An 18,844-nucleotide genomic window follows, 5' to 3' on the forward strand; every position below is an offset into this window, starting at 1 on the left:
AAAGGAAAGAGATTTAATGGACTCCCCAGTTCCACATGGCTAGGGAGGCCTCCTAATCATGGCAGAAGGTGGAGGAGGAGCAAAGGGATGTTTTACATGGCAGCAGGTAAGACAGCTTTTGCAGGGAACTCCCCTTTATAAAACCATTAGATCTCATGAGACTTATTCACTATCAGGAGAACAGCATGGGAAAAACATGCCCCCCATAGTTCAATTACTTCCCACGGGGTCTCTCCCATGACACATGGGGATTTTCACAATTCAAGGTGAGATTTGGGTGGGGACACAGAGCCAAACCATATCACTCGATAAAGTCTAATAGAAAACAAAACTTCAAAGGGAATTTGGGGCCTTGAATGACACTACAAGGAGTTGGGATTTTATGATGCACAGGAGACCATTAGTGTTTTTATGAACTGACTAGCGACAAGATAAAGTCATATACAGAAAAAATAATCTAGAATCACATGTAAAATAGACTGGAGTAGGGAAGCCCATGCAGGTAGTAACAGTGAGATGGTTAAAAATATCAAACAGGAAAAATAATTATTAAAGACGTCTTTTCCTGAATGTATAGGAAGTAGTCGTGAATGAGGCAGGGATGTGGGAATGCTGCATTTCAGCAGTAGTCTGTGGCAGAAGAAATATCTTTAGCAGTTATATATACTTTCTTTTTAATTAAAAAAAAAACTTGTGACACTTAGGGATGGAATGTGTTAGATTGCAATATGGTATGATAAAATCACTATTCAGAAAAGAGTGTTCCTTTATCAAACATGAACAATGACGTTAATCTCATAAAAGCCTACTTCCAAAGTACTAACTTACCCTTCTGTTCCTGGTTAAAAAGGGAATTGTTTTTCAGTGTGAGGATAAGAAGAAACCATGTCTTGTGATGGAATTGTTCTGTGTCTTGATTATATCAGAGTTAAAATCTTAGTTGTGATATTGTATTATAGTTTTAGAAGATGTTGACATTGGGAGAAACTGAATTAAAGATACATGGAATCTCTGTCTCTTGTAATTTCTTGTGAATCTGTAATTATCTCAAAATAAAATATTTAAATTAAAAAATACTGTTGTGCAGGGGAGCATGCCAGGTAAGAAGACACAAACACTTTAAAGTCCAAAGAAGTTTATGCTAAAGCAATAATCACTGGATTGAGCGTTTTAATCAAGTACTATTTAATCTTCAGGAAAAACTCTTGATAGTGGAATGGGTTCTATTTTAGATGAGAGAAATAGATGACAAGAAAAGCTTTTAGAGAGGTTTGGTAACTTGGCCAGTGTTATACAGCTAGGAAGTGGTAGAGCTATGTGTCGGCACTGAAGCATTCAGACTCTACAGTGCATACAACTTTACGGCTTCCATATACCTATTCTTTCTACATTTTAAAAATCACGTAATAAAACATAACATATAAAAATATATACAATATCAATTCTATTTTAATGACAAATTTAAAAGCAAAAGGCCATGTAACCATCACTCACGTTGAAAAAATAGAATGTTGCCAGCACCCCAGAAATCTCCTGTCCATAATTGGATCCCTTTCCCTTCCTCACAGATAAATATGAGGACTTTTGAAGAACCATGTCCTTGCTTTTCTACTGAGAAATGCATCCCTTAACAACATAATTAAGTTTCTCATGGTTTTCTAACTTATATTAATAGAGTTATGTTGTATATATAATTTTTTCATCTTGCTTTGTGTAACATGATATTCATGTGTTCTATACATGTTTTTGAGAGTAGCCATACTTCACTCATTTTCATTACTGTGTAGTATTCCTACAGGGCAAATGTTATTTATTTATTCTACTCTTGATAGATATTTAGAATGTTTTTATACTTTGGCTATGACATCAATGTAATTATACACATTTTTGTATATGTGTCTTGAAGCGCATACACAAATTTTCTAGGACAAATGTCCTGGAGAGGAATTGTTGATATATGTTCAATTTTACTAGACAATGCTCATCTCTTTTTGAAAGTATGTCAATTCTAGTGTACATGTGAGTCCATGTGAGTTCTCATTGTTCTATATCCTCAAAAAGACCTTATTGTCAGACTTTGAAATTTTTGCCAGTATTAGATGTAAAAAATGGTATCTTGTTTGGGTATTATCTTTTACTTTTGGATTATTACAGAAGTTGGCCCATTTTCTTATGTTTATCAGACATTTAATTTTTCTTCTTTTGTGAAATGACTTTTCAGATGTTAACTCCAGTTTGTTATAGATGTGTAGGCATGTTTTATATATTCTGGATACAGTTTTCTGATGGTTACATGTGTTCTAAATATCATCTCTCTTATTATTTATCTTTGTGGGCCCTTATAGTATATTTTGATAAAAAATAAATGTTAATTTTAGTAACTCGTTTATTATTATGAAACTACATTTTTATAACTAATAATACTACTCACTGTAAAGTCTTGTCTGATATTAAAATAGGCACATCAGCTTTCTTTTCTCTTTCATTCTTTGACTTTCAACCCTGTTGTTTGACTTTGTTTTAGAGGAGGAGGCTTAACAGCTAGTTCAGGGTCCTCTCCTCAGGCCTTGAGGACTCCTCAGGATATAACTATTGGCTAAACACTCCTTGCAACACTACCTCAAGGAGTATACCAAATCCAAATAAATGAGAATCCATTTGAGGACTATCTACTAGTCCAAGCACCAAACCTTATTGTCAACATCTTTTATAATTAATGGTTAGCTGGCATTAATGAGATGTAGCTGTAGCAAGGAATGGATATTAATCATTTACCAGATAGCCTCTATAAATGTTGTGGTTTCATTCAATGGCATTTTACTAAGCTTTGAGGAAAAATGAGGGAGCACTATGCTATTGACATAAAAAGATGTTTACTCCATGTGAATTAGAGAAAAAAAGCAAGTTGCAGAACAGGATAAATTGTATGGCCAATTATTTTGAAGTATCAATTTTGTGCATATACATTTACGTAAGTAATCATTCAATCAACAAATTAGTTCTTGAGTGCGTCTCCTGTTCTGGGAACTATTTCAAAACAAAGTCAAAAGCTTCCAAGCCAATTGTCTTCTTTTTCAGGGATCTTCCTCCAACCACTTCAGCCCTTCTGTCATGACCACGTACCTTTAAAACTTGGTTAGATAGCAAAACTCACTAAGCTTTCATTTCTTGACCAACAAAATGGGGTAATATTCCTTGCCCTGGTGGCCTGACAGTTGATCTGAGAATCAAACAAGTGAGCATATATGAATGTGCTTTAGTAATAAGCACTGTGCACATAGAAGGGACACACACAGAACTGTCCCCTTGCTTCTAGTATGAGTTAAAGTTTTACTTGCTATAGGAAGCTCACCTTAGACTATCTCCTCCAATTCTGACCTATGTCATGTGCTGCACTTCTCTTGTAAAAACTAAACTAACATCTCTCAAAAACAAGCTTAGGCAGGTCTGTATTCCTCCGTGGCACACTATCTGTCATTAGCCAATAGTTTCTTATATTTGTATGCTATCTTTTCATTTAAAATTCATTCCTTTCCAATGAAGTCCAGAAAGTGCAAAGAAACAAGTATTTACTAAATACTGTAAAATAATTTTTGTAAGTCTGCTGGATTTAGATTTGGTTTCTGGTAGTCATCTGGCTCATCAGTAACTATGGGGTAGCTACTATGAGCCAGACATTGTGTTGCATGCTGGTAATACAGAAGTTGTCAGAACAGTCATGGTTACTTCCTTCACAAAACTTTCAATCTAAGCGAAAGAACAGACATTAGAGGTATTATGAGGATGTAAAGTTTACTTTTTAAAAATCAGATGGATAGAAGGAAAACATGGGATAGAGAAGGGAGAGGTGGATGCTAACCTAGTCTGGGTAGGATACGTAATAGGGCTTATCTGAGAAACTGACCTTGATTTTTATTTAATTTTATTTATTTATTTATTGAGATGGAGTTTTGTTCTTGTTGCCCAGGCTGGAGTGCAATGGCACACTCTCGGCTCACTGGAACCTCCGCCTCCCAGGTTCAAGTGATTCTCCTGCCTTAGCCTCCAGAGTAGCTGGGATTACAGGCACCTGCCACCATGCCCAGATAATTTTTGTATTTTTAGTAGAGACGGGGTTTCGCCATGTTGGCCAGGCTGGTCTTGAACTCCTGATGAACTCCTGACCCCAGGTGATACACACGCCTCAGCCTCCCAAAGTGCTGGAATTACAGGCTTGAGCCACCACGCCTGGCCGAAACTGACCTATAAGCTAAACTTGGCACTCAGAGCTACTTCATCAAGAGGAAGATGTCATAAGCCATTATTTCACTAATGATAACAAAGAAATATTTTATAACAATAAGTGAAAAGCTTTCAAAGATATATCAATAAGTTGATTATTATTTGAAAAATTAAATATGATGGGTTTATTAGATAAGCAAGCCGCCACTAGAATCTTTGAGCTTGGCTCTTCTTATTGGCCTTTAAGATGTCTATTGTATTGAAACAAAGTTTAAGAAAATGGAAATTTTGTTCATTTACTTATTTATTCTTGCCACTCTTAGCATGAAGAAAGTCATTTTAAATTTATCTTCACGCACTACCCCCCCATCAAAAAAACAAACACACACACACAAAAAACACCTCTCCGTGTTAAATGTGGATTAAATAAAATTTAGGAATGAGTCAGGGTTTCAACAGGAAACCAATGACAACTCAAATGGCATGGAAAAGATTTTAGTGGAACTCCTATTTACAAAGATGCGGACAGGGTTAAGGGAAAGCAACCAGTGACAATAAAGCATTCCCAGCTAGTACTAGCTAAGATTCCTAGACCATTTTAACTAGTTGGCTAGGAGCCAGTAAACTTCTTTATGTTTTTAGAGGAAAGGGTGAGAACAAATTCAGGAACCTGGAGAAAGAAAGAGGCTTCAAATAGGAAATGTAGCCTTTACTGGAGGAATGCAACCCTGGAATCCAGAGCCATGCAGAAAGAGAGCCAGGGAGAATGAGTTCTGAGACTCCATGCTCCTCTCACCCTCTCATCTTTTGCCGTTGCTGCCCATGGACAAACCAACAGGAAGCCAGAGAGAGAGGAAGCCCATTGCCACTGTGAGGAAGGTTCAGCCTTACAGGGCACGGGGCAGAGTTGAAAAAGAGTGAATCTAGAAAAGCAAAAGAGAAATATTCACCATAAAAAATCACTTACTCTATTATATTGTACCATATTGTATTTTTTCAGGCTTTTTCTTGCTTATTCTCTGGCACTAATAATCAGTAAGACAGCTGAAGCAAAATAAAACTGTAACATGCCATGTGGCAAAGGGGGTCAGGTTCTGGCTTAATTCAGTTTAATTTAATCTAGTTCTAGACATTCAGTTCTTCAATGGATAATCCACAAAATGGATACTTAATTCCCATTGGCTGTACAACAGAAGGAGTTTCAAGTTTATCACCTTTCTGTTTCCATAATGATAGGGTTTTTAAGGTGTTTAATTTTCACAGGGAAGCTGGATGATAATTGTCCATAAAGCATATCCACTGGGATATATATCTTTGTGCCTCTTCATCATGTTATGTCAAATTGTATTTCCTAAGGTGCTCAATAGGTTGTCATATATAACCAAGGAAATTCAATGCAAGTACAATACAATGTAAATTTAATACAAGGTATCTCTATTTACGCTGAAGAATTGTGTTTACTGTAAGAATTAAACAACAATGCTTTAGTGTGTCATAAAAATAACATGTGTAGTGAATATAGATGCTCCAAACATATTTGTTTGTCTTTTCCAGTGCAGCATGGCAATAGGAATATGAACTGAGGGCTCCCCTCAAGGTCCAGATGCTGATTGAATGTGGCAGATATCTCCCTGTGTGAATACTTGATCCTTCAATTAAAAAGGAAAAGAGAGAAGAGCTTTCACATTGCGGGATAATGCCTTATTACTGTTATGCTCTCCTAAAAATGGAATCAACGGAATCTAAAAAAGACTGTGCTTGGGAAATTCTACCTGACAAACTGACTGGAGGTGTTTCATAAAAGTTACGCAAGGTTTGCTCAAAACTGTCAAGCAGTTTTCCTAAGTGATTCGCTGAGTTCTATAATCCATTTCACTTATTAAAACTGAGCATTTCCAGGAAAGAAAATAGAATCACATTTTGACCATTTAAAAATAAAGTTATTTTAAAATAAAAAGTAAGAAAATCAAATGAAATATCAAACAGTTATCTCTCCAAAACCAGAGAAAAACCAGAACACAGATCTTATGAATTTTAAATATTGGCACTAAGAACAGGACATTGAACAAGTAAAAGTAACAAAATTTTGTTTTCATACAGCTAGATTAAATTCTACATTATAAGCCTTTCTACAAAAAGTAGAGGCAGATAATATAGTGAATAAAACCGTGAATTTTTGTCATTCACACCTTGCTTTGATTTATACAATCTTTCTGCTTAACCAGCTGTCTTGATTTTGAATAATTAAACTGTTTAATACTTATAAATCTAAGTTTCCACATTTGTGAGATAACAATACCTATTTCATGGGCTAGTTATGGGAATTAAAGTGCCTGGCAAATTCTTATAAATTATAGCTATTATTATTATTACTAATGTTATTATTGTTAACAGGAAATCAAGTATTTATTTCTATGCATGCATAGAATATTTAATTTGTATTTATACATATATCTTCATGTGCATACATTATGAAAACTTATTTCTATAGCATCATCTCTTAATGTGAAGGACAACATGTATAGAGTGTGTATAAGAGACCTATAGTTAATTGATTTCTCTACCACCCATTATTGACAGAATATATAAGCTCAAAACACTGAGCCAAATGTTTTTTTTAAATAACGTTCTATTGTCTTCAAGGTACTACGTGTAAGTCTACAAAAATAATCAACCTGCTAAGATGTTTCTATTATTTTTGACATGATTGCCACCATTTTGACATATGTTCACATATAAATTCTCACAAAGATGGGCCAATATGAAAGACTAAATTAGGAAAATATTTCCATAAGCTTCTCAGGTCCCCTTCACTTCTCAAGAAGATGCTAGACCATGTCTAATGGGTGCCCAGCTCTCATGCTTCTCCCTCTCTCTCTTTTTTGTTTTAGACGTGGTCTCACTCTGTCACCCAGGCTGAAGTGCAGTGTCACAATTGTGGTTCACTGCAAACCCTGCCTCCCACGTTCAAGCGATTCTCATGCCCCAGCCTCCCAAGTAGCTGGGACTACAGGCACACACTACCACGCCTGGCTAATTTTTTTTTTCTTTTTTCTTTTTCTTTTTTTTTTTTTTTTGGTAGAGACAGGGTTTCATCATGTTTCCTAGGCTGGTCTTGAACTCCCAGGCTCAGGTGATTTGCCCACCTCGACCTCCCAAATTGCTGGGATTACAGGGGTGAGCCACCACGCCCAGCCACATGCTTCTCTCTTAATTATGCCCATGTGGTTATTAACAAATCCTGACCACAGTAAAAACATATCCTTTCATACTGAGACATGCAGAGCACAAACAAGACAAGTCTATGTGCTGTCTTTCATTAGGAAATCTACAGATTACCAGGCTGATGAAATCTTAAGCAAAAGGACTAGGTCTCTAAGTGTGTGCTTTAAGCCTTCAGCAGGCCAAGAGGAAGATTCCTCTCTGCTGTCTTTGAAATCATCCCACCTATATTACATAATCATCAAATGTGCTCACAGTGTGCATTTGTGTATGTTGTATGATTGCATATGAATATGCTTCTCACATCAACACTATTACAATTTTGGTATTGTCCCTATCATCGGTAAATATTAATTCATTCGACAGCTTTATAAGATGCCTCTACTCCGTGGCACTCTGCCAAAGGCCAGGACTAGGGCAGTGAAAAAGATACATATGATTCCTGCCCTCATGGGGCTCAGTCTAATAAAGAAACTATTTTAGGTCGATTTACTTAGGTAAAGATAGAGGTTAGTTACAAGGAATTATAGCTATTAATAAAAGATAAACATTTTATATTCTATATTTTTAGTTAGTATTTAAAAAAAACACATATTCTAATTAGTTTAAAATGTCACTGTAAATGTTATGCTAGATAATGACGAATAAGTTTGGCATAGTCAGATAGCTATGCTGTTTTAGCAAGGTAGACTTGAAGTGTGAAGAAAAAACATATTTCAGGATTCTAAGGCCTAAGCTTCTAAAAAGGAATATGGCTCATGAGAATTTGGAAGCTCTCAAAAGCAGAACTTTAATTACGCAATTGCAATCTACACAATACAGGTCACAAATGTATTAGACAGTAATCCTTTGTGCTACTTCTCTGTGATAGCTAATGGTCTTACAAAGGAAGCGTCAAGGTCCTACATAATAAGGGTTCCTATAGACCTTGGACCTAAAAGTCGCTCTTTTCAGCGGTTTTAAAATCATGTCTGAAATCACAGCCTGTAAAGAACACCTTTGCCAGAGGGAACGTGGGTGCAAAGGACTCTGATTAGAGAAACAGAGCTGGAGTGTCACACCATCATTTTTGCAGGTATGTGAAGCAAGGGACTAGAATTAAGCAGGACATATTTGAAGGCAAGCAAAGCCTTAGGTGTGAATCAAGTGATAATGACTCAGTACTTAAAGACTGTACTTGGCAGACTGAGGCAATTAATAGCAAGTAACCTTGTTTGTAATAGCAAAAACCACAGAAATGTCCATCAATAAAAAGATGGGTCTTGTAAGCTGTAGTTTCATTCAGTGGGATTGCATACTGCCTTTTGAAAGAATGAGGTCACGTTCCACTGAACTGCAAGGAAAGATGTTTGCACCATATTGTGAAGTGAGAAAAGTAAATTCCACAACAACTCAAATAGTATGAGCTCACCCTTGTTTAAAAAATGCATACTTCATGCATAGATCTCTATGTGATTATTAATCAGCAATTTTTTTTTGTTTTAAACTAACACTGTTCTTAATCTTTTTTTCTAGTTTAGTTTATAGCATTTTATTACATCCTCTCTGTATCTTTTTTTTATTACAGTAAAAAGCACAACGTAAAATTGGGCATCTTAACCATTTTAAGTGTACCATTGTGTTATCTACATACACGTGGTTGTGCAACAGAGTTGTAGAACTTTTTCGTCTTGGAAAACTGAAGCTCTAAACCCATTGAACAGCAACTCTCCATTTCCCCCTTCCACCCAGACCTTGGTAACCGTAATTCTAATTTCTGTTTCTGTGCATTCAACTACTATAGATAAACTCACGTAAGTGCAATCATGCAGTATTTGTCTTTTTGTGAGTGGCTTATTTCATTTACCATAATCTCCTCAAGTTTCATCCAGAGCATATTGTATGACAGGACTTCCTTCTTTTTAAGGCCGAGTGATATGCCATTGTGTAAATATATCACATTTTGCTTATCTACTTATCTGTCCATAGACACTTAGGTTGTTTGCACCTCGTAGCTACCGTGAATAATGCTGCAATGCATCTTGTTTCCAATTCTTTTGGATATATTTCAAGAAGTGGGATTGCTACATCATCTAATAATTCTATTATTAATTATTTGAGGAACCTCTACACTACTTTTCATAGCAGATGCACCATTTAATATTCCCACCAACAGTATTTAAGGGTTCCAGTTTCTCCACATCCTTTCCAGAACATGTTGTTTTCTGTTTTTTTCTTTAATAATGGTAATCAACAATTTTTTAACTGAGCAATTATTATGTCTCAGGCACTATTCTTGGAGCTGCTGGTACACTGCTGAACAAAAGACACCAAATTAGGAAAAATTCTCAGGGCTCATGAAGTATGTACTGAACCAACTAGCAAGCTTTCCAGCACAGACACTGTGGAGCAGGACCAGGCTGGGAGACAAGGAAGAGAACTGAAATAACAAGGGGAGAGGATCTTTTCTTAAAGCATTGGTTAAGGATTACCATCAGACTTTCACGAGTAGGAGATGATCATTTAAGTCAGAATCAGTTATGACAAGGACAGAATGTTTCCTAAGCCACGCTGGCCAAAGGCTACCAATTGTTTGATTGGCAAGGACTGGACATTTATATTAGAACTTTTTATACCTTTCATATTTTGTCATATATAGGCAAGCATAAAAATATACCTAGTTCTCATTATAGAAATTGAGTTTAATTTTTCTCAACAAGTCTTTGTTCATGTTTATAAATCCCTAGTGAACAAACATACCTTTAGGTACATAACTGATTAACAGAGTCAAGATTTTGAAACCTGAGTGTGCAAAACCAGGCAAGTAATACCTGTTTCAGACTAAACACATGTCTATATCTGGTCCTGCAACATCTTCGTGAGGATGCAGAGGGATGACATGTCCACATCTCATAGGGAACCACTAGGAGCTGCTTCTCTGTGTACCTGGCACCTTGTGCACCTCCCCACCTTGTGAGAATTCATTTATATGGATATTTTCCCCGAGGACTCTGATATCCTTGAGATCAAGAAGCAAGGAAATGCACTGTATAGATAAGAGTGAAGGAACCTAGTAGGTCATCAAAATACATATTTTGAATGAACAAATGCAAATTTTTTGCATGGCATGAGGAGGCTCCTGAAGCGATCTGGGTGAGCAATATTAATGGCCTTCACTAGAGAAGTGCAGTCGAGGGGTTGTGTGGTGACAGCAGTCAGGGGTGAGCAAGGTTTAAGGTGAAGACTGCTGCCCAGTATACTGGCTGGCAGGGCTGGGTGGTGCAAATCCATGAGAGAGGGAATACAGGAGAAAGAGCAAGCAGAGAGATGGAGACCATGAGGAGAAATCAACTTGGATATGCTGGGTTTAAGATGTAACAAAAATCCAGGGGGAGGATTTTGTGAGAGGTCTCAGTTGGAAAATGTAGTAAATACCCAGGGGTATTTTGATGATAACCGAGGCAGTGGAAGATTCTGATTATTTAGGAGGTCTGTGGTGGAGCCTAGAATCTACTTATTCAATTGGTGCTCCCAAGATTGTTCTAAGAATCAGATAAGTTTGAGAAATACCATTTAAAATCTTTTGAAAGGGTTTATTTAGTTACACAAGAATGAAGTCTATCTTATTCTCCAATTGTATTTCTCTTCAGCAGCATATTCAGAAATTAGAAAGCAACCATTAGGTAGCATATATTGCCATGTGAGCCTGGTACCATTAACTTTGAATTGGGCATAATCCAGAAAAGAAAATTAAAAATTCTTTGGTCAAATGCAAGATCGGTATTCTCAAAAGAGAAACCCAGCCTCAGAATCTACACAGCTAGAAAAATATATTTTAGGAACAAATGCATTTTGAACAAATATATTGCAGACACTGGATGGTAAGTACTTCTATCATCTCTCTTGGTATCATTAAAGAGCCAGGGCTTTGGAGTATATATGCCACTGATCAAAGGTAATTTCCACAAGAAACATTAAATGAATTAAATATTATTGCGTACCAATAAAAAGTAGAACATTGTGTTAGGCTCTGCGGAGTGAAAGAGAAATTAATGATTTATGGTCCTTAGCATCTGGTGGGAGTGTTTGACATATACGCAAATAACTTTAAGCACAGGCTGAATGAAGTTCCATTATGAAGGCATAGAAACAGTTCACATAGTCAAGAGAAGAGGGAAAGTTTACTTTAAACTTAAGGAAGAGTAGAATGATTTCATGGAATAAGAGGCCTACGGTTAGCCTAGAAGAATGAGTTGTATTTCTACAGGTAAGGACAGGGTGATGACAGGGATTGTTAATCTTAATTTTCCTTTTTTTTTTTTTTTTTTTGAGATGGAGTCTCACTCTGTCACCCAGGCTGGAGTGCAGTGGTGTGATCTCGGCTCACCGCAAGCTCCGCCTCCCAGGTTTATGCCATTCTCCTGCCTCACCCTCCTGAGTAGCTGGGACTACAGGCACCTGCCACTATGCCCGGCTAATTTTTTGTATTTTTAGTAGAGACGGAGTTTCGCTGTGTTAGCCAGGATGGTCTCGATCTCCTGACCTCATGATCCACCCCCCTCAGCCTCCCAAAGTGCTGGGATTACAGGCGTGAGCCACCAGGCCCAGCCTGTTAATCTCAATTTTCTAATCAAGGAAATTGGGGTCCATGGAAGTTAATGAATTTCCTGAGGTAACACAGTCACTATACATCAGAAACAATTTTTGACTCTAGGCCTATTTGACTCCACCCATGTTTTCCAACCCAACATTAAGCCATAAATATTCCAGCATGGCTAGAAAGGAAGATATGTTATAAGGCAATGTGTATTCAGGTTGAGTCACAAGTTGGTAGTAACCTGAATACCAGACTAAAAAATTTAGACTTTATTCTTTGGGTATTTGAGGAGAGGTGTGGGGACTTCGAAGACAGATGGAGAGACAAGATGTTTTCCAACAATCAGATTATCCCTCTCTAGACAATCAACAAGAGAAACAAAAAGCTAAAAAATTGGGGGAAAGTGGGGAGAAGTAGTAAAAACAAAAAAAGTCGTTTTAAAAAAAATAAAACTGCCTTTTAAATGTCTAACCATTGTACCACAATTAAAGTTCTAAAAATCCCACTCTAATTAAACACAAGACTTTGGAATACCATGGAAGTGTCAATACAAATCTCCAAAATCTCCCAAATTCTTCTTGCTTGATGAGTACATTTTAAAACTGCTTGCAAATATACAAAACATACGCAAATACACAAAACATTCAAAGAGCTTTGTAATGTGGAAAATGTTTCCCTGAACAGCTGAAGATTCTGAGAGCAATTGTAGTTCTAGTTGTATTAACCAATTGGGATGAAGGGAAGTGCTCTACTATGCAAATCATGTAACAGCATTTCACAGCAATCCAATTGAAATAAATCATTAACATTTTCATTGTCATCTATGAACTAGGGTACTTTGTGAAGTAAGAAGCATAACAAGATTGTTGATTGCTTAATATGGTATCAAATAGGCATCCATTTATTTTTTCTTGGAAAATTTGTAATAGTACAGGAATAACTTCAATAGCAGAGATAATAATTCACTCTGATTATTAGAATTCTCTCCATTACCTCAAATATATCTAGTGCATTTGCCAAAAGTTTAATTAAAATGAGATGGCTGGAATAATTAATATCATAGTAAACATAAGACAAACTAATAAAACTGTAACTTTTTTCTTTCATTCTTTTTGGCTGTGCTAAAAGAGCCCATTTCAATTTTCAGTAATGAGTTTCTTAAAAGAGTTTCTATATTAAAAGTCTTCTTGATATTTGTCTCAAAGAGGAATGAAATTTAATGTCAAGTAAGCTTCCATCAGTGTGAAACAATGGTACTATGTTATATGAACCTTAAAGATATTTCCACTAAATGAATAAAGCAATTTCTACCCAAAACTATTACAAATTCTTCATAATGAGATTTTATTTTAGTGAAACGTAACTGACTAGCTTAATTCACTAAACTGTACAAAAACATATATATTGCTTAGAAATGCACAAAACTTGCCTCCAGCTAAATATGTATAAATATATGTATGTTTAATCTATGCATTGTTTAAAAACAGCATGTTGAAATATTTATAAATAGTATATTAAAAAATACAGAGTTCCAAGTGGCCTCTTTTAAGATAAACTTATTAAATCAAAAGCGTTTTGACACAATATGTACATGAACTTTCCACCTCTCTCCTTCGCCAAGGAAGAACTAATGGCTTTTAAAAACAGAAAGTCATTGAAAATACAATGTCACTCTCACTACGGCATTCTTTGGGAATCCTCCCCGTTTGCTCTCTTCACCTCTCCTGGAGCATATTAAACAATGAGATGCAGTACACAAAAACTATCAAAAGGGAGCACTTTTGAGCCACCAAAATTGTGTGTTAGCCTAAAAACCACAATCTCCCCAACTAGAGACAATGATACTATCTTAGGTATTTTATGTGCTAAAATGATCATTAAAAATTAAGCACCACATATAAGCTGCCATTTAGAATATTAATTTACCTTTGCTAATCATCTTTTTAACTTGAGGCTAAAAGAGTTCACTTACCATTCGGATATTCAGGCTCAGTCCAGGAGACATTAAAGGAGTCAGGTGAATATGAGTGGGCTTTGGGGGCTGGCACGCCTTCGGGTATGTCCTCGTCAGTTAGGGCCTCACTGGCCTCACTCACTGTGCACCCACCACCTGTGCAAGCCTAAACAGAGATGCAAAAATGCTCATTTCACTCTTGGTCCCAAAAGTTTTCATGAACATTGAGGAAAGAGAATTCATAATAAGAGTTTCAGATTTTGTTATATAGTGCTACCTTTACTTCCCCAAAATAAATTCATTTCAGTGTTAAGATTTAACATTTATTTAATTTGCTTTTTAAGACATAAGATAGCCATCCCCAATAGTTAGAGAATAACTGAGATGGTATGAATGTATGAATTAAGGAAGCATCTTAAGTCAGAGCCTAGAGATGTAGGGCATATATTGACTGGATAAACAGCCCTGCTGAAGTTAGCCTTGCACAAAGGTTCCCAGAGTGAATTAAACACACACACACACACACACACACACACACAGCATGTGTACACATAACATAAGTAAAGTACTAGAGGATGAAGACTACTTTAAGACAAAACAACTGACTTCTAGGGAAGAAAAGATGTGCAGCAAATACAATTGCCTTTTATTTCTACAGTGTGACCAATATGTTTATAGCATAACACCAAATAAAATTAAATAAAACAATGTTTCTCATAAAACAACAAATACAAAGCAATTTTTGAGTGAATGTTTAATGGCTTAAAGGATCACATAATTTACTTATGTGTCAGAGTAGATAGGCTTCATTAAAACATGTTTGACAAATTTAACATGATCACAGAACTCTCTGTTCCCTAATTAAGTATCACTAATGTCAGAAATGGTAACATGAATGTTACAGAAACTTCCGTGTGCAATTTCATAATAAACTGCAAATAATGTTTTAAACTTACTGGACAAGCACTTCTCCAGGAAATTGATAAATACATTAAGGGGTTTTCAGCCCATATTTGCTAGCAAATATTAGTAATTATATCCTTATATAACAATGATATTTGAAAACTATACTTAAGCTTGGTTCAGTATCTCTTCAAGTTACAATTTCAATTGATACAACAAAGTTTAAAAATCTTTCAAAAGGCACTAAATTTTACCAAAATCAAAAAGAAAATAAAGCAAAATCATAAGACAATGTAAAAAAGCAGAGATATTTAGCTCATTTTTGTGTAAGACAGATATTACTAAGATAAAAAATTAAAGCATCTCTTTCTTTAGGCGTCTCTCTGATTTTTCAGTTTGATACTGAGTGAGTGATTTTGTGATTCTTAAAGTAGTCGATATTCTTTTCCCCAAAGACAGAAGGAAGCTGACTGATTTTTAGATTTTTTTTTTAAATATGGGAGTACACTACTATTTGCAAAGTTGTTGCAACTAGTTGCAAATTCTTCATTATAAGCATAAACAACAGTTTATGGTCAACAAACATGGAAATTAATCTCACTTGCTATTACAAGACTATAGCAATAGCCCATGTCTTCAGGATAATTTCTTACCAGCTTAATTAAGCAACTTTCAGATGGGTTAAATTGTGGCCTGAGCATGAAAATTGCATTAAGATTGGGTACCTAATTAACCTCTGTGGGTTTCCTCTAATTCTCAGCTGTGGCATGTGCCTTTCTGTGCAAGAAAAAAACCATACTCCTCTAGAGAATGGAATCTTTGCAAATGTGGCCAAACTCTGACTCAAAGCTTTAGGACAGGTCACTGTGAGCTCAAAAAATAATTGCCCAACGATTAAAATAGAAAAAAAGTTGAAGACCCCAGACATTTCAAATGTGCTAAAAGTCCACCAGAAAATATGGCAGGAAAAGAGGCCATATGAGACAGCTGAGTTATCAAAGGAAAAATGGTCAAAGACAAATTTTTCCCACTTCTCAGGGAGAAAAAAAATCCATCCATTTGCATTTTTCAGATTTTTTTTCCTTAGAAGGGAAAAATGTTGCAGCTTCTTATTGTTAAACTTGTAACACACTGGGATTTAATTCTGATAGTCTACTTGTCACTATTTTTTTCTTATTTGTATACTAAAATATTTCCCCTGCTAACTCTCCCCAAATAAATTCTATACTATACAACATATAAGTATATATTTTTAAAACACAGTGTGAATTAAAATTTACTTTGAGGATTTTATGATGTCTTCTAGGATAAGTAAAAGCATCCTTTGGTTTAGAAGGACTGTTTCATCTACTATGTCATCTGAGATCCATAAACCAGTAACTTGACAAAGAAATCTCTTAAGAATGTAAGGCATTTATGAAAGCATTTTTCTTGTAAATGAAATTATTTATAAAGAGGCTGCTGAAATAACAGAATTACCTGCAAATTATTTTATTTTGTTTTGCCCACATTCTTTTTGGATGCATTTAGAGGGTCCTAAGTAAGCAGGACATTATCTTAGTTCCTTTGATGGGAAAATAAATGTTCTTAAAGCTGCTTCCAATTGGTCTAATCTGACATCATCTAAATGAAATTGAACCAATCAGTATCTTGTTTGACCTGCCCGCACCAGAGGCCACTACATTCAATACAGCTGAATGCTGATTAAAATTCTGGTCTGGAAAAACTAAACAAAATAGTGGGGTTGATTAAAAATGCCTTTATGAAATAGCAAGGTCTTTGAAAGCCTGAGAGCCATTAAAATAAGTTGTTTTAACCATCGCCTATAGCTTTTCTCAGTTACAGCCATTTTGAAAAATTCATAAAGGCATAACTCTGCCTTGAAATGATGAGTAACATCTGGCCAAATAAGGGATTCAATTTTGGTACAATAAAATGCATAAATAATAAAATTTTATCAATTATTTTTGAAATCATGACTATTAAGACAATCCAAAACTAGCATTCTCTTTTTTTGTTGTTGTTGAGATGGAGTCTTGCTGTATTGCCCAGGCTGGAGTGCAGTGGCAGATCTCAGATCACTGCAACCTCTGCCTCTCGGGTTCAAGGGATTATCGTACCTCAGCCTCCCGAGTAGCTGGGATTATATGCTTGCAGCACCACACCCGGCTATTCTTTGTATTTTAAGTAGAGATGGGTTTTCGCCATGTTGGCCAGGCTGGTCTTGAACTCCTGGCCTCAACTGGTCTGCCCACCTGGGCCTCCCAAAGTGCTGAGACTACAGATGTAAGCCAGTGTGCCCGGACCAAAACTAGCATTCTCTTTTCCAGTAAGTTTTCAGGTCCACAGGGATTGGGGATGTTAAGAGTGCAACATATTTTAAAGCACGAAGAAAAAGAAAAAGGCCACTTGATCCATAATTACTTAAAAAGTGAAGCCACTTCCAGGAATCTTTCAGGAATATATAATACTTAGAATTCATCAAGTTACAAATGGCTAGCAGTGGTATGAAAATTATCAAGCAACACCTGTCTTGATAGCTGTCTGTATTAATAGCTTCTTTATTTTATTTTTAACATATTGTCTTCTTTATTAGGAGCTATCACATTTTATCACATTTCAAAATAGCCTTTGTTGAGAGTAGCAACATATTATGTTTTTTTTTTTTTTTTTTTTTTTTTTTTTTTTTTTGCAGTGGAAAGAGTATGTTTTGGAACCACACCATTCCTAATTCCAGTGTTTCCAAGCAAATTATTTAATTCATATCAAAAGTCTTAGAACCTTTATGAAATGATGTCCTTGGTGATCATTCATTCAGGAATTGTTTGCTCAGCTTCCCATTTCCAATAGGCCCTGTGCTTGAAACTGCAGATCAAATTTTGAAAGATTCAGTCCTTATGTTTCAGCAGTTTATAATCCAGTCAAATGTGAAAACTAAATGACGTTACATGAAGTAACATACCTGCTCCAAGCCTAGGGTAAATCATAGTGGTTCAAATCCCCGTGTAGCTTCCTCTATTCCAAATGCTGCTTAAAGGCTTTGTTATCTTTATGTTTTGTTTTCCAGCTCTTAGTCGACATGCTAAAATGATCTATAAAGGCAACTCCACTTTGCTGAGAACCTGCTCTCGATCTACTAATCTAATGACCTTGAAAGCCAGTTATTATATTGAAACTGTGAAATATACAATAATCCCTCAATTAACCAGGATGAACCTAAAATGTTCTGGTTCATTTAATTTACTGCTTAACAGAGTTAAGTAAAAACCCTGTTAGTTGAATCCTCCCTGAAAATATATTATTTTCTGCCCTAATAAATATAGTGAACTTGAAAATAATGTGAGCAAGTTTATTTCCCTACCAAGAGTTAAGGCAAGGATTTTCACATCTTTATAACATCTTGCATCAACACTATTCAGCGGCTGACAGATAGCATTTGACTCCATAGAATAGTGTTTGGGATTACTTTTTTTAGCATCATAGAATTTTATGGCTCAGAGACATTAAACATCATTTAGTTCAATGTTCTAATTTTAGACTTGAAGAAAATAAAACTCAGTGAGGTTAAGTGAATTTGCCTTAGGTCACACAGTTTGTAGTAAAATCTGAATTAATACTCAGGGCAGAGGACTCCTAATCTACTAGTATGTATTTTTCAAGGTATTATAGATTTATAAAATCTAGGAGATTGATATGAATTGATTGACTGCACAGCACATCCTAAAAACGGCCCTAGGAAGAGAATCTGTTCTATGTCATTTGCCTACTTCTGATAAACAACCAAGAGCACAATTTTTGGTTTAGTTTTGGTTGCTTCCAAAAAATTAAGACTCTTCCTAATTTTGATACTACCATTATTTTGAAAATAGTTTGTATTTCTGTGTTAGCATTTGAAAATCAAGTTAGTATATTTCTTACTTAATGGGTAATAAAACTGTACATAACCAAAGTGCTGTTTCATAAACTGC

At 35.7% G+C, this 18,844-nt stretch overlaps 1 protein-coding gene across 1 annotated transcript in view; it reads right to left on the reverse strand.

Annotated features, from left to right (window-relative positions):
* Nucleotides 1-18,844, reverse strand: part of USH2A (usherin) — an 800,558-nt gene that overhangs the window by 356,138 nt on the left and 425,576 nt on the right. Inside the window, exon 35 of the mRNA NM_206933.4 lies at nucleotides 13,992-14,139. Within this exon, the coding sequence (NP_996816.3) occupies nucleotides 13,992-14,139 (148 nt within the window). The remainder of the gene's footprint in view (nucleotides 1-13,991; nucleotides 14,140-18,844) is intronic.

This window comes from Homo sapiens, chromosome 1 (genome assembly GCF_000001405.40).
Source record: "Homo sapiens chromosome 1, GRCh38.p14 Primary Assembly".
Classification (NCBI taxonomy): Eukaryota; Metazoa; Chordata; class Mammalia; order Primates; family Hominidae; genus Homo; species Homo sapiens.